The 15,266-nt window shown below is 37.9% G+C and overlaps 1 pseudogene, besides 1 other annotated feature; it reads right to left on the bottom strand.

Annotated features, from left to right (window-relative positions):
• FMO8P (flavin containing dimethylaniline monoxygenase 8, pseudogene) lies at window positions 583-15,116 on the bottom strand (annotated as a pseudogene).
• Window positions 3,023-4,222: an enhancer, noted in NCBI's record as "CDK7 strongly-dependent group 2 enhancer chr1:166546309-166547508 (GRCh37/hg19 assembly coordinates)". NCBI's record gives its function as "activates an origin of replication core promoter dependent on BRD2, BRD4, P300/CBP, MED14 and CDK7 cofactors, with strong dependence on CDK7, by STARR-seq in HCT116 cells {active_cell/tissue: HCT116}" and the evidence as "EXISTENCE:reporter gene assay evidence [ECO:0000049][PMID:35650434]".

Raw genomic sequence — 15,266 nt, 5'->3', positions numbered from 1 at the left:
AATAGTTTTAAAATAACACAAAATTATGTGTAGTTCCTGACTTCTGTTATTTCCTCTTTTTCTCTCCACGCCACCCTCCGTACCTTAAAAAAACCTCAAACATACCTGAAATAGCCTGTTACTTCAATATCCATGATTCTATAGAATGTGGCCCTCATGGAAAGGGTTTCTGGTGATATTTTTCACTGTTAACATTTTCTAGATTATTTGAAGAGATACTTTTTCTTAGCCTGTGCTTCAGATGCAAAAACAAGAATTTACCAATTGCAAGAAGCCAACAAAAAATGTGTTTAGTATAAAGAGATGCCTAGGAGTACTTGGAATAACTCAGAATATTTGTCGTGTTACAGAAATTAAATGTGCAGTTCAAAAGTAATTTCTTACACAAACCACTTTACTTGAAATCTCTGTTTACAAAATCTCCATTTTGGCCAAAATATCCGCACATGGGAAATTTTGGAATTATTGGACAGTTCACTGCACTAGTCTAGTCTGGATTGAGAGAAAAACACTTGCATATGCTGGGCTCTTAATTATTGTGTACCATTGTTGGTCTATACTGTAATAATGCACAAAGGAGGATTATCCTTTAACAATGATGAAAATGAGGACAAAGATGAGAAGGACTGCACTGATACTTTTAAGCCAAAATAACAGAGAATGAAGGCTGGTCACGAGTAAGGATACGAGTCCTCAGGGGCTTGATAATTCTCTCTCTCTGGGTCAGGATGGCTTCCTGGCCTCCAGCCCACTTCCCTGGCCTCTGAAGGCAGTACTGGTAAGGTGTGCATGGTCCAAAGAAAACTTCCATAGCTAGCTTTGGATCCCACAGGAAGAGTGAGAGGAGGTTGGGTTTCGCTCCAATTTCAGAGGCAGTTTCATCCATGTAATCTACATAGTACACTCCGTGTGTATCTTGAGGATTTTTCAGCAATCTGACACCAAAAAGGAAAAAATCAGAAGCCTTGTGTCACATGATAACTTCTATCCCTCCAAGCAGTTTCCTGTAAATACTGGGTAGACCTTGTGTGAGGAGATCATCTATAGGGAAAAGATGATGGCTATCAGTGGCTTAATAGCAACTGTGTCATTGACGGTTGCTTCAAAAAGCAAGAGATAAGTCTGGTTTCCTTATTTTCTGCTACCGTGGTTTCAGGAGTTTCTAACGAAATATTCATGTAGGTGTATTTTTCTCCTTCAAATACTTGGAAAGGTTTTTGGATAGCAATAGGTGTGTTTCAGAAGATTTTTGCCTTACTAATCATATTTTTTCCTTTTCCTAAATTCTATATTTTTGCCATGCATTTGGTTTTCATTCAGGAAATAACCTCATCTTGGTAAATTGGTGGTGGGAACTATGCTCTATGAATTGTACATGACAGTTATTTAGGTATATGTGATGTTAATTTTATGTATTACTGAAATGCAACTCTTGGCTAACCTTCTTAAATCAAAGTTACTGGATAACTGACTGTTCTTAGGATGTAAGCCCTTTGATCTTAGAAAACACGCTGTGACATTTACATTGTAGATTCTCAACACATACTTGTTGAATAGAAATAAATTACATCCCAACCCTAGTGGTTGAGAATAATTTTCCATTAAGAAGGTCTGGCACAATCTACAAGCTGCTGAACTCACATCAGAATTTTAATTGGATTCTATGGTGATTCGCCAACTCATTTCTCACATTGATTTATCTTCCCAATTCCTTAAAGGAAATAACTCCTTAAACTCCTTAAAGGAATCCTGGGAAATAAAACAATCTTTCAATTCATATTACATTTTTCTATGCCTTACATTTATAAGGCTATCATAAATTTAAAACTGTATGCTGTGGCTGCCATTCCATGAACTTTAAACAAATTTCTGAAGTTTTCATGACGGACCATTCTGTATCCATTTCACCCCTAAATATTCCATACATGATACTATGCTTGGTTAAGGGGAAATTTAAAAGTTGATAATTTGAGATCTCACCTAGGTAAATAGATCAAGACATTATGATGAGTAAAATAAAAAAAATTTGGTAAGCAAACAGCTCCACCTAAACCCTTTCAATTTACTTTTACCAAAAAACATGTTTCTTATACCTTTTCCAACTTTTTTCTCTTCTTTCTTATGTCAGCCATCATGTCACTCACTGAAAGTAGTTTGTTCAATCCTAGGAAAGAAATTCTGGATTTCAACATGGCTTTCTTATTGAGAAGATGCGGTTTCAGGAAAATATAGACACCCCAAAGGTCCGTTTGGTAAAGAACATCATGAGTGAGGTAGCACAGGCATGGGGAAGATGAATCCAGGGACAGCTCTGGAATGCCCTCCACTCATTGTTTTAACAGTGCACATGCCTGCCAGATGCAAACATACAACTTTGTCACATGCCTGATGAGTTCACATTTTGATTAGCAGACCTCAAAGCCCTCAAAGCCCACGAAGAAGGATGGACTAAAGGGTTGAGTCTCACCCAACTGACAAGGCACAAATGAGCATGTTTGTAGTTCCATTATCAGAATATATACTCTGGTTCTCCTTTAAACAGGGAGTTAAACTTGTTCATTTCTATTACTACTTAGTTTACAAATATGGATTGTAGCTATTAATGGTAATTCAAAGTCTTCTGATTGTTTTCTTTACACCAAAGTTTCCTACTAATTTTCCATCTTAATGGATGGAAGTCACCTTCTTACAATTCTGTTTCATTCCTAAAATGGGTGACATCCTACATTTTGAAAAACACAGAATGTTCCAGGAAATAAGGAAAAGTTTTTAAAAGAGAAAGAGACAAATAAACAGAATTACTACAATATGACTGGCATCATTTTATAAAGGTAGGTTTTGAATTTGTCATCACTGATTCATTCTTGAGCTTAGAATTAATGGTAAAATAAAGAATAATAATAACGGATTACAACAATGGCTAATCTCTATTTATTCGATCAATATTTACTGAATGCCTCCTAAAGTCAAGGTGCTCAATTGTTAATTCTTACCATCCTGCAAAGTAGATATAAGTCTTCCCATTTTTACAAATGAGGAAATTAAGGTCAAGTAGCAGGTCAAGATCATGCAGCCAGTACATGGTAGAACTAGTTTTTAATCCCAGGTTTATTTGATTATAAAGCCCTTGCTCTTTGAATTGTGCTGTAGTGTTATTCCAGTGGCTCTGTGACTCTGCCAAATTTACCTGCTTGTTTTCTTTATATTTTGAATGGACACTTGAAAGATAGGCAAAAAATGCTTTCTTTAATTTTCGCTTATTCCAGAATGACCCTAGCAACATTGGGAAGTAAGAGAGCTATTATTTCCCACCTCTACTTCATGTTGAGATCTTTTTTTTTTTCCCTGCTGCTCTCACTTTCTATGCTACATACATCCCTGTAGTGCTCTAAAGAATTACTTGCCAATACGTTGTCATTAATAACTTACGAGAGTACTTTTTATTTTTCATATTCACACAGGGATCATGAAGATTAAATAAGTAGCCATCAAACACTGAAGTAACAGATCTCAAGTGGCAGAATTTCAGATATTGTAAAGGTTTTAACTTCAGAGATGCTTTACGGCAAAGGACTTTTGCAATGTCTCTGAAATCACACCACCTGATGGCAACCTTTTCTAAATATTCCTAAAGTCAGCACATACCTTTAAATACACATACAGCCCAACAGCTCTGGACCTCTGAAGAGGAAATGGTGGCTCCCACTGTTCGAAGGATGCCAGTGAAAGCTAGTGTTGGCTCCTCCAGCTGAGGAGGGAACACATGTTTAAACATGGAACACAGCTGTCCAGGATTGATGAGTCTTCCTTCAAGAAAGGGAAAGACAAGGTGTAGCCTGTGGCAAAGATGACGGCATCAATCTCCTCTTCTGTGTCATCTTCAAAGATGGTAGTTGTCTCAGTGAACTCTGTCACATTCGGTTTCATCACAAGTCTTCCACAAATTACATGGTTGGGTAGATCATCACTCATAGAAATTTGATGGCTCAGGAATCGGAATAATACAAATTGAAGTACAGGAAAATTAATAGTAAGTCATTTTGCTTACTATTAATTACTATTTGCTTACCATTAGTGACTCAATGCTTAATGAAAGAGCCGCATTTTTGTTTTACAGAAATATTTCTTTTCCTCAATTCCTTTTCTGAATTACTTACTGCAGAAACTTTCTGTATTTATCAGAATGCCAATGATATTTATTAATGCTTACTATATGCAAAGGAAAGATTTTAAAATGTCATATAAAAGCTTATACTGGTAATACATTAATATCTAACTTCTTTTAAATAATTTCATTCATTAGAAAGTTTTAAAAAATAGTTGCCAAGGTGTTTGCATTGGAACAGGAAAATCATACCATATTTTTATTTTTACTTTATATTGAGAATATACATGCCATTTTAATAAATTTACTAGCACCATCTAATTTCAATACCATTAGTGGTCTTCCTGCTTCCACCCTCGACTCCCTACATTTTCTCTTACACTTAGCAGCCTGAATGATTCTTTTAATATACAAAAACATTCTTCAGTGGTTTTCTATTTTACTGAAAACAAAAACCCAAATCCCCACCATGCTCTAGTCCTACAAAGCCCTATGTGGTCTGTCCCTGCCTACCTCTTCCACTTTCTACTACTTCTCTTTCCCTAGTACTCTAGCTATATTTTCAAGCAAAGTTTTATTCTATTGACACCATATTTGAATTAATCATACAATGCGTAAGTTTATACTTATCCCAAATTTTACTCTTTTCAACCTCGTGAATATTTGCTGTTAGTCTGTAGTCAGCATTGAGTGAATTCCACATTCCATCTTTCCTCAACCCCACCATATCTGCAGATTTCTACTGTCATCATGCGGCAGACCATCAGTCTACCTTCATCATTTTCATTGTCTTTCTGAGAAGATTTTTCTAGCTCCATTATGTATTTTTTTAGATTCAGTGTTCAGAATACACAATTGTATGCTTCAGATGCAGACAAAAACTGTTTTCATACAAAAGTTGAGCGATATTTCCTCATTTGTTTCCAGCAAACTTCCCTTTTTGAGTTTTGGGGCATGGAAGTGGACGAGTTCACTCTTTTAACTCACATATTGGCTACTGATACAATAAGGAACACACAGAAGGTGCTCAGAGAATATTTATTGATTTACTACACTTGACATTTGGCCATTCCCTTCCTGAAATTTTCTTCTTTCTATTTTGCCATCCTTGCTATTGATTCCTCTAATTCTCTGCCTTGCTCTGGCTTCCGCCTGACCAAACATGGTGCTCCTCTATGGCCCTGCGTGGTATGGCACACCCACTTTGCTTGGGAAATGTAAGTAAATGTAAGTTCTTTCAATGGCATTGACTTCTTCATGTTGTCAGTCAGTCACCTCCATAAGTTAAAATTCCATAGGTATAATTTTACTATAGTCAGAAAATTAATAATATAAAACAACACAAATTTGTTGAGCATTTACTATGCATTAGGTGCTAGTATAAGCTATACATGTGCTTTCTCCTATTTAATGCTCAAAACAATTTTCTGAGTTGGTGCTAATGTTGTCTCCATTTTATATAAAATAAAAATTAGGCATAAGTAAGTAGTTAAGTAAATTTGGTGATATCACATAACTAGTAAATGGTGAAGCAAGGATTCAGATAGCTGTCTGGATCCAGAATTCTATTCAAGGCAAAGAAAGCATTTGCTGCATTTCAAAGGATTCTCCCTGCCCCAAGTCTCCCCTCTTATTGCTCCCCTTATATTGCCAGATTCCTGATTCTTTTGGCTTGGGAAAATGGAGGTGATGCTTTATAACACAGTACACCATCTACTGCCTGTCCACCTTATGCAGGTCTCAGAGTCTAAAGAAGGAGTGAATTTCAGAAGCCGGAGAACCAAGAAGGAAATGGTCAAACACCACGTGTAGTAAATGAATAACTATTATCTGAGTATATTCTGTGTGTTCCTTATTATATAGGTAGCCACAATGTGAGTTAAATGATATTATCTGAGTATCTTCTGTGTGTTCCTTATTATATAAGTAGCCAGTATGTGAGTTAAATGAGTGGGCCCATCCACTTTCATGCCCCACTTAGGTTCCAAATTCCAGAAAAATGAAATAATTCAAGGAGACTAGAAATTAACAAATTGACACATAAATCCCATCCATCAGCTAATTATAGTATTAATATTACAGTATCTAGAGCACTTTGTTAATCGAGTCCCTAGAATCTAAGTATGGAAGGAGTCAGAGTTGGAAGATGGTGTCAAATGACAGGTGAAGCTGCCACCATAATCCTGGAACACGATATTTTCCTGTAAGAAAAGTGAGTAGAATGGTTTAAAGAAGCATGATAAAGGGAACAATGATTAACATTCTCCTAAGATAGTTGAAGTTTATTTTCAAGATGGTAAACATGGACTCTAAACCACTTCTATGTTCCAAGTCTCAGCTGCTGACCCCAAAAGACCCCATATTATGTTTTAAAAATCCCAAAACATACCTATGTGGGGATTGTAAACCATAGATTTCATGGTTAAATCGAGTATTTAATTTATTCTCTGTCCATCTGTTGATTAAGAATGCAGGGTGAAATTTGTTGAGGACAGATTTAAAATGAGTAAAGAGGGCAGTGTCCATGAGCATCCCATAATCTCAGACCTGGCTCCACATCCATGCACCCCGTCTTGTGCTGAGAAACACCTAGGAGAGAAGACAAATATATGAAAAATAACTGCCTCACAATGTATTTCCTTTTGTAAGATGTTTTCTCAGTTCTTCATATATCTCTTATTTGGCTCAAGAGGATAAGTGGATAAGAACTCTCTTGCCTTTTTAGCCTGAAGTGTTCCTCACTTCTCAAACTCAGTTAGACCAACAGATACAGTCACACATATACTCACACATACAGACACACCTAACATTGCTTATAGCTCCAGAAATCTGCCCAGGCCTCCCTCTGGATCTCACCCACTAGCCCTTTGAACCTTCTTCAAAACAGTGTTTCATCATATCATACAATCACTCAGGTTCCAAATTCCAGAAAAACTAAATAATGCAAGACGATTAGAAATTAACAAATTGACACGTAAATCCCATCTATCTGCTAATCATAGTATTACAGTATCTAGAGCACTTTGTTGATCATGTCCCTAGAATCTAAGTATGGAGGAATCAGAGTTGGGAGATGGTGGCAAATGTCATGTCAATGGAAAATAAAGAAATTAAAAAAATGGTTTTCTGGTATGTTGATTTTTGAAACCCTTGGCTGAGCTAATGAAGAGTCCAGATGCTTTAGTAAATATAAACGATATGGCAGTCATTAAAGTTTGAAGTATTTACTTTTAATACATTTTCAAATGTTTAAAATGGATTACCATGATGTCTTACAAAGAAAACAGGTGTGAAGAGATAATTAACAATAAAGACTGTGTGTGTGATGGGGTAGATGCTATACACATTTCATGCAATGCTCAGAGAAGTGGGCAGGTTGCGTTGAGGGGCAGAGAATTTTAGGGGCCAAACCTGTGCAGCTACATGGCTGAGCTCAATGGCCAAATCAGCTCTGGAATTTCCAAAGCCAATAACAACAATTTTCTTCTCCCGAAATTTATCTGGCCTCTTGTATTCCCAACTGTGAATATATTGGCCTTTGAACCTCTTGATCCCTGTGGGAAAGAACAAAATTACTAAAGCATTGGTCATTATTCCATTTATTTTAACTGATGGTATACTCCAAAGCTTATCACTGAACTCAAAGTTCATCCTACTAACGCATATCATTTGCTGGTCTACTGATGCTAGTGTCATGGACCCTGCCAGCCCAGCATCATCAGGCAGAATGAATCCTCCTACAGATTTGTTCTAGACTGTAAATTCCAAGACAGAACAGACCCCCAGACTTCTGAGAAACTCAGATATCTCACCTCTGACTCCTTTTTACTTATCTGTATCCTGCAAAGCCTTCAAGGAGGAGCTCAGCTCTTATTTAAGTAATATATTTTCCTCATCCATCACTCATGTTATTCACAACTACTGCCCTGGACTCAGTTTCCTCTGTCTTGTCTTCCCTGGCCAAGCTTCATCCTTGTATAGCTGTTTCCTTTGCTTCCTGGGCCAAGTACACCCTTCCTACTAGCACTATCGCTCTGTTCTCCTACTGGGGCCAAACGCTCCAACATCACCCACAAGATCTGCAGCTAAGAGGACGTAAGAACTTATTTTTTCCTAAAAAATAAGTTTTTTACTTTGATTTAAAGAGAAAGATTATATAGCAAAGCCATAAAAGCTGATTGATTTTGCAGCATTTCATCTTTTAAACAATATTGGGGTCTGCACATATGGGCTTCATTTGCTCCTCCTGTGACACTGCACAGCCTTAGTCAGTCCTGATGGTGGTTCAGTCTTTGCTGTGTCCCCGTTTCCCTACAGAATTTGCTCCAAAACATTAGCTTTCCCTTGGAAACAGTTATTTGATTCTCACATAGTGAACTCCTGGCATGGATCCAATTGTTCCTAAACTCTATGTTTGGCAAGTTCAATTGCCCATGGATAGGATAGACTCCCTATCAATTATCTTACTGCAGCTACTTCAATTATTTCCCCTTTCCTTGGTGCCAATGTCACCCCTCTCATTCCCTGAAAATAACCTTTCTTCTCATTTGTATGAAAACAACAAAGTTCTTAGGTGAGTTCCTCAACACCTAGAAGTTAGTGTGTTTTCATCTATCTTTCCTCCGTCTTCTTTTCTCCAGGAGAAAATGTTTCTCTTTTATTCCAAAATGAACCCTTTGCCCTTGGAGTCAATGTGACTTTTAACCTAGGCATGAACCTCTTAGTAGTTAAATTTGTAATGTGTAAAGTGGACATTATTTTACCTATTGCATAGGAACGGTATAAGGATCCCTTGATATGCTCCTATGACATAGTAAGTGCTTAGAAAATAAATTTAGCTCTCTCCTTTGAATATTTTCAATCTTATTCCATTCTGTCCCACTTGCAATGAGCATCTCTGGAACCTGGTCATCCTGTGGCCTCCTCAATCTCTCTCCCTCATGCAGGCCAACAACATTGGTATTATCTTGGACCCCTCTCTTTTTGTCACATCCCATTTCTAATTCATCACTAAATCCTGTCATCTCTACCATTAAACTACATGTGGGTTCCAAGCACATCTCTATATATCTCCATTGCTACCACCTCGATACATGTCCCCATCATCTCTATATCAATATATGTCCCCATCATCTCTCACCTGGGTTAGTGCAAGAGCATCCACACCAGTCTCCTAGCTTCCACCACTACCATCTTCTCCCAGCTATTCTTAACAGAGCAGCCAAAGTGGCGGGAGCATGCCACTCCTGAGGCCCAGAGTCCAAAGTCAGAGTCCAAACATAAGATTTAAAGGCCCTTCTTGATCTGGTCTCTCTTTCACTTTCTGTCCTCATCTTCTTCCCACTCTTTCCTCTGGTCCAGCCACACTAGAATTGTCAGGCACACTCCTACCTCAAGGCCTTTGCACATGCTGTTCCTTCAAAACAGTATGCTTTCCCCAGATACCTGCATCACTTCCCCAACTCCTTTGGGTATTTACTCAAATGTCCCTTTCTAACTGAGGCTTGCCTTGACACCTTATTTAATGTTGTAAGACAATCCCCTATTGCTAAAATTCCTCCTCCTTCCCTGCTTCCCCTTCCTTCAACAAGTATTGCCTCCAACATATTTCTCCCATTTGTGTCTGTCTCCATCCACTACCATGCACACTCCTTGAGGATGGAGGTTTGGTCTGTTTTGCTCTCTGCTGAGCCTCTGGTAAGTTGGTGCTCAATAGGCGTTTCTTGAATTATTATTGAATGCATAAGTACAGGAATGTTTAAATCTCGAATTAATTAACTAAACAAAAAATAGACCTCTCTTGGCCAATTATGACCTTCTCATCTTTTTATATACTGGGAAAGAAACAATGGATGTGGAGAAATCCAGAGTCTCCTGGGAATCTTGAAGGAGCCTAAGGTTCAGCCCTCTTCAAGAAGACTAAATACTTATATTTCTAGAGATGAACAGAGAGATCTTGTGCAGGGAAATCATTCCTGCATCATTCCTAGTATTCAGGGTGCTTGAGCTTCCAAATAGCAGAGCAATAACATTGCAGTCTATTTTAAGATGCATGGTAACACCAGCAAATAGCTATTTATATTTGTCATGCTATGCATATACATACACATGAAATAAAGCTAAATCTCAAAATATTTTCTGTAGCTTTGATTTTCCTATTTACTCCAAACTATTACCAACACAAAACAACCTTCCAATTGTGTTAAAATGTGGGACTTTCCTATTAAAAAGCCCAGATGCTGATGAGATACTAGTAATTTTTATTTTCAATTTTAAAACATTATCTATTATTGAACGGACTTTCAAAGAGCATGCATGATTTCACAGTCAGAAAAGGTAATATTTATTGTAAAAATAAGGTGACCTTCGGAGTTGAAAACTTTAAAAAAAATCAATAACAACGATAGAACCCCATAAAAGCAGTGCCTTAGCATTCTATATGACATACTTGGAAAGTCCTGGAGTGGTAATACGGGATGGCTATGAAGGCCACTACACACCATAATCCCATCAAAGACATAGGATTTCTGCTTCCCTCCAGTCTCGACCACAACATCCCATTGCCTTGTGCATGAGAAGTTGCAGCACTTCTTCACACTGCACACCTTTGACTGGGAATGAGACAAACTCAGACTCATAACCACTCCTCCCACTTGCCCTCCTTCCAAAGAACTCTTGGCTTTAATGAATAAGGTTGGTTATAGCCACTCTCCTCTGGGATTCCTTTAGAATTGATTTTGCTACTGAGGCCTCTTTAAGTAGAGCCTTATTTAGTCCAGTTTTCTCCCAATCATGGTTGGGATCATAGTTAGGGGTAAGTCTACAAAAGGGGTCCAGTCTGATGTTTCAGCCAATCCACCATATTTTTTTTTTTTTTCCTGAAGGAAGAGAAGAGAGAAGCTCCTGCTGATTTCACTAGAGATGTATGTAAGGTGAACCCTGTCACCCCCTAAACTGAATGGAGGCCTTGCTGTACTTTGTTCTGGCCTGGTTTTCCACCCTCCCAAGATGGTTCCACATGTGCTAAGTGCCCTCTACCTCATTTACCATAAACTGTATGTGCTTCAGAAGATGAAAGTGATTGATGTACATTCTGAGGTACTCCATCAATTTGGAATTGTGCAAATAGTTGGGAAGATGGGAAGGGAAAGGGTAATCACTATAGGCTGATATTTCCTTTGAAGTATTGCTGGTGACACATTTATAGATGATTGCCCTGCCACCTTCAGCCTTCTCCTACAAGAGAAGAAGACACTCACCATCTTTTAGAATACAAGAGTGACAAGTTAAAGAAGAAGTCTCTTTATATGTAGAATTATGAGGTTCCTGGACTAAATTCTTTCAAAGAAAGCAATTTCACATTACCTTTACTAAGAGATAAGATATTTTCCGGCAAATAGTTAAGAAGAGCAAAAAAAATTCTAGTGAGGAACAGACAGAAGGACAGGAAAATAAAAATGTGTGTAGTACACCGGAAAGTGAAAATAAGCAGAGGAAGATAAGGGCTGCTTCTCTGCCTGCAGAGCTTTGTAGGGTTTCAAGTTCCAGACTGATGGGTGACTGGAGAGTACTGGGAAGAGGGCATCCAGGAAGCCCTTGGCTGTTTGTAGTGACTCATAGAAAATAGTAGTGATCATACTTAGACTTTCTTTTATCCTTTATTTTTTATATTGGCAATTTTTTCTAATTACATGAGCAGCACATGTTTATTATTATTATTATTTTATAGAAAATTATGGTGAAGACTATCATTCATGATGATCCCTTTAAATATTTTGATGTATACCCTTCCAATCACGGCCTATCTTTCAAGATCTCTTGCTACATATATTATCTATTTATCTATACACACACAGATGGGTATATAATGTTTTATCACTACTGTACTTATGGTTTTGAAGAGTTTTCAATATATAATAACATAATTCAATTCTATGATGCACATTATTCTCATTTTCCAAGATATAATAGGAGTCCATACAACATACAGTATCTGTTGTGTACATTAACAGCCATTATTGATTTTTTTTAAAAAAATTATGGCTACATATCTAAGTAATTTAAAGGTAAGGTAAAACATACCACCACTGAAAATATGTTGTTTTCTCCTAGAAAAATTTATTGTAATCCTAACTACATTATTTTAATACGTGAACACACAAAACACAATTTTGGGGGTTTTAATAATGTTTTGTGTCATGTGTAATATTTCAAGCCATGAAATATGGAATGTAATTCATGCTAAAGTATATCAGCTTTAGGAAAAATCAAACTATATGTTTTCTTCTTCAAACTGGAGAGCATTGTTTATTAATAAAACTCATTTTATTGATGTACCTGTATACAAAAATACCCCCTCCTGATAAGGTTAGTCTCTGCAAATATGACCAGCAGTTTAATAAGTGACAGCCTAACATATGAGCATCCCTAGTGAAGTTAGATGACATGAGGTGGTATTTTGATGTGGTTCTTGATATATATCATTGTGTGGCTAGGAAAAAGAACCTGACATAAAATCATTTCTCTGAATCTATTTCTCTGTCTGTAAATAAGTCTTTGCATTGTCCTTGCAGTCGCAGTATTGTTATGAGGACAAAATAATGTTGCAAGAAGTCAGGGACACCAAACAGAGGGACCAGCTGAAGCCATGGCAGAAGAACGTGGATAGTGAAGATTTCATGGACATTTATTAGTTCCCCAAATTAATACTTTTATAATTTCTATGCCTGTCTTTACTGCAGTCTCTGAACATAAATTGTGAAGATTTCATGGACACTTATCACTTCCCCAATCAATACCGTCGTGATTTCCTATGCCTGTCTTTACTTTAATCTCATAATTCCATCATCTTTGTAAGCTGAGGAGGATGTATGTCGCCTCGGGACCCTGTGATGATTGCTTTAACTGCACAAATTGTTTGCAGAGCATGTGTGTTTGAACAATATGAAATCTGGGCACCTTGAAAAAAGAATAGGATAACAGCAATGTTCAGGGAAAAAGAGAGATAACCTTAAACTCTGACCACCGGTGAGCTGGGTGGAACAGAGCCATATTTCTCTTCTTTCAAAAGCAAATGGGAGAAATATCGCTGAATTCTTTTTCTCATCAAGGAACATCCCTGAGAAAGAGAATGTGTCCCTGAGGGTAGGCCTCTGAAATGGCCGCTTTGGGGGATGGCCGTCTTTTATAGTCAAAGCTGTAGGGATGAAATAAGCCCCAGTCTCCCATAGTGCTCCCAAGGCTTATTAGGACGAGGAAATTCCTGCCTAATAAATTTTGGTCAGACTGGTTGTCTGCTCCCAAAACCTGTCTCCTTATAAGATGTTATCAATGACAATGCGTGCCCGAAACTTCATTAGCAATTTTAATTTCACCCCAGTCCTGTGGTCCTGTGATCTCACCCTGCCTCCATTTGCCTTGTGATATCTTATTACCTTGTGAAGCATGTGATCTCTGTGACCCACACCCTATTCGTACACTCCCTCCCCTATTGAAAATCACTAATAAAAACTTGCTGGTTTTACGGCTCAGGGGGCATCACGGAACCTGCTGATGTGTGATGTCTTCCCCGGACACCCAGCTTTAAAATTTCTGTCTTTTGTACTCTGTCCCTTTATTTCTCAGACCAGCTGACACGTAGGGAAAATAGAAAAGAACCTATGTGAAATATCAGGAGTGAATTTCACCCGATATCTGGCTGAATTTCCCCAGATAAAATAATTCACATAAAATGCTTTGAAAACCTAACACAGGAGATCAGCAATCACATGCAGTGAGATAGATGTAATAGTGGTGTGTCCATAGGGTGCTTTGGACCTGGAGGCAGGTGGTGTTGGGAAAGCCTTCCTGGAGATGTGTCTGTATCACTCAGGGATCAACCAGGAACATGGAAACTACTCTTAACTTGAGACAGGGAAGGTAATGCAGGGAATTGATCTCACAGATAATAAAAGACCTCAAAAGCTAATGAGGTGTTGGTGGAACATCCTAGAGATTAGCAAAATCAGGTAGCCACCCCACCTCTAGGCTAGCCCTAGGCAGTTATGGGTCAGTAGCCTTCCACCTTCTCTCTTTTCCCTTCTGTGGCACCCTTGGAGGCTATATGGTCCAGGGGTATAAGTTAAAGTTGGAGAAAGGCTACTTAATCATATCTTCTATTGTTATTATGCTAACCTCTTAAGGTTTGAGAATTTGTCTGTGAGACCCTTAGTGTTAGTTGCTCTAGCATACATACGTTGTTAGGCTGAAGATAAAGATCTAAAGATTATATATTAGCATATATGGCAGCTGAAGTCAAGAAGGGATAAGGAGATAGCCTAAGGAATGAGCAAAAGGTTAAAAGAACAGAAGATTGAAATAAAGCTACAGCCAGCCACATCTAGAGGCCAAGTGGAAAAATATTGAAGAGGAAAAGCAGAGAAGAAAAGAGAGTGAAATTGTAGAAGCTAGGGACGAATGTTTTTTAAGAAGGTTGGTTGGGTTTTAACATAATTAGCTCTCCTTGAGAAAGCAAAAAGGCCAGAAGGTCCACTTGATTTGACACCTTTGGAAACAGCAATGAGAACAGTTTTCAGGAAGTGCTGGGGATGTCCATCATGTAGCAATGGTTGAAATGTGGCGGGAGGTGAGAAAGTGCTGAGAGCAAGCATACATTCTTCCTTCAAGAAGCTGGACTCCCAAAGGAAGAAGGATGGACTGAATATTAACCTTGAGGAAAAGAAGAGAATGAGATTCAACACACAGGTGCAGACATTAGTAAAAATATTTATTATTATTCTGATAATTGAAGGATAAATTAGTGCTGCAATTCTTATATTTCTATTTCTCAGTTGTGGAAGTCACATATACATAAAAACATAAGACCATTCAAACTTACCTCATATCTCCATACTCCTCCAATGTCACTGCCTCCTTCAAAACAGGTGGGCTCCAGTCCCTCTTCCAGACAGCTCTTAATAGCGTTTAATCCACTGACTTCAGCGCCAATCACTGCAATTCTTTTTCCTGGCATTGTTTCTGACATCAGGAAACTTCTTAATATAAAATCAGATTTGTATTGCCATGTATTTTTCTCTATCATCCAAGAGCATTCTTTTTTTTTCCTAAAATTGCTGGTTAGTGCATTTAAGGAATGTCTTACTCAACATTTTTATGCCTTTCA

The sequence above is a fragment of the Homo sapiens genome, chromosome 1 (genome assembly GCF_000001405.40).
Source record: "Homo sapiens chromosome 1, GRCh38.p14 Primary Assembly".
NCBI classification, from domain to species: Eukaryota; Metazoa; Chordata; class Mammalia; order Primates; family Hominidae; genus Homo; species Homo sapiens.
Note: the sequence above shows the minus strand (reverse complement) of the source record. Positions and strands in the feature narration are given on the sequence as shown.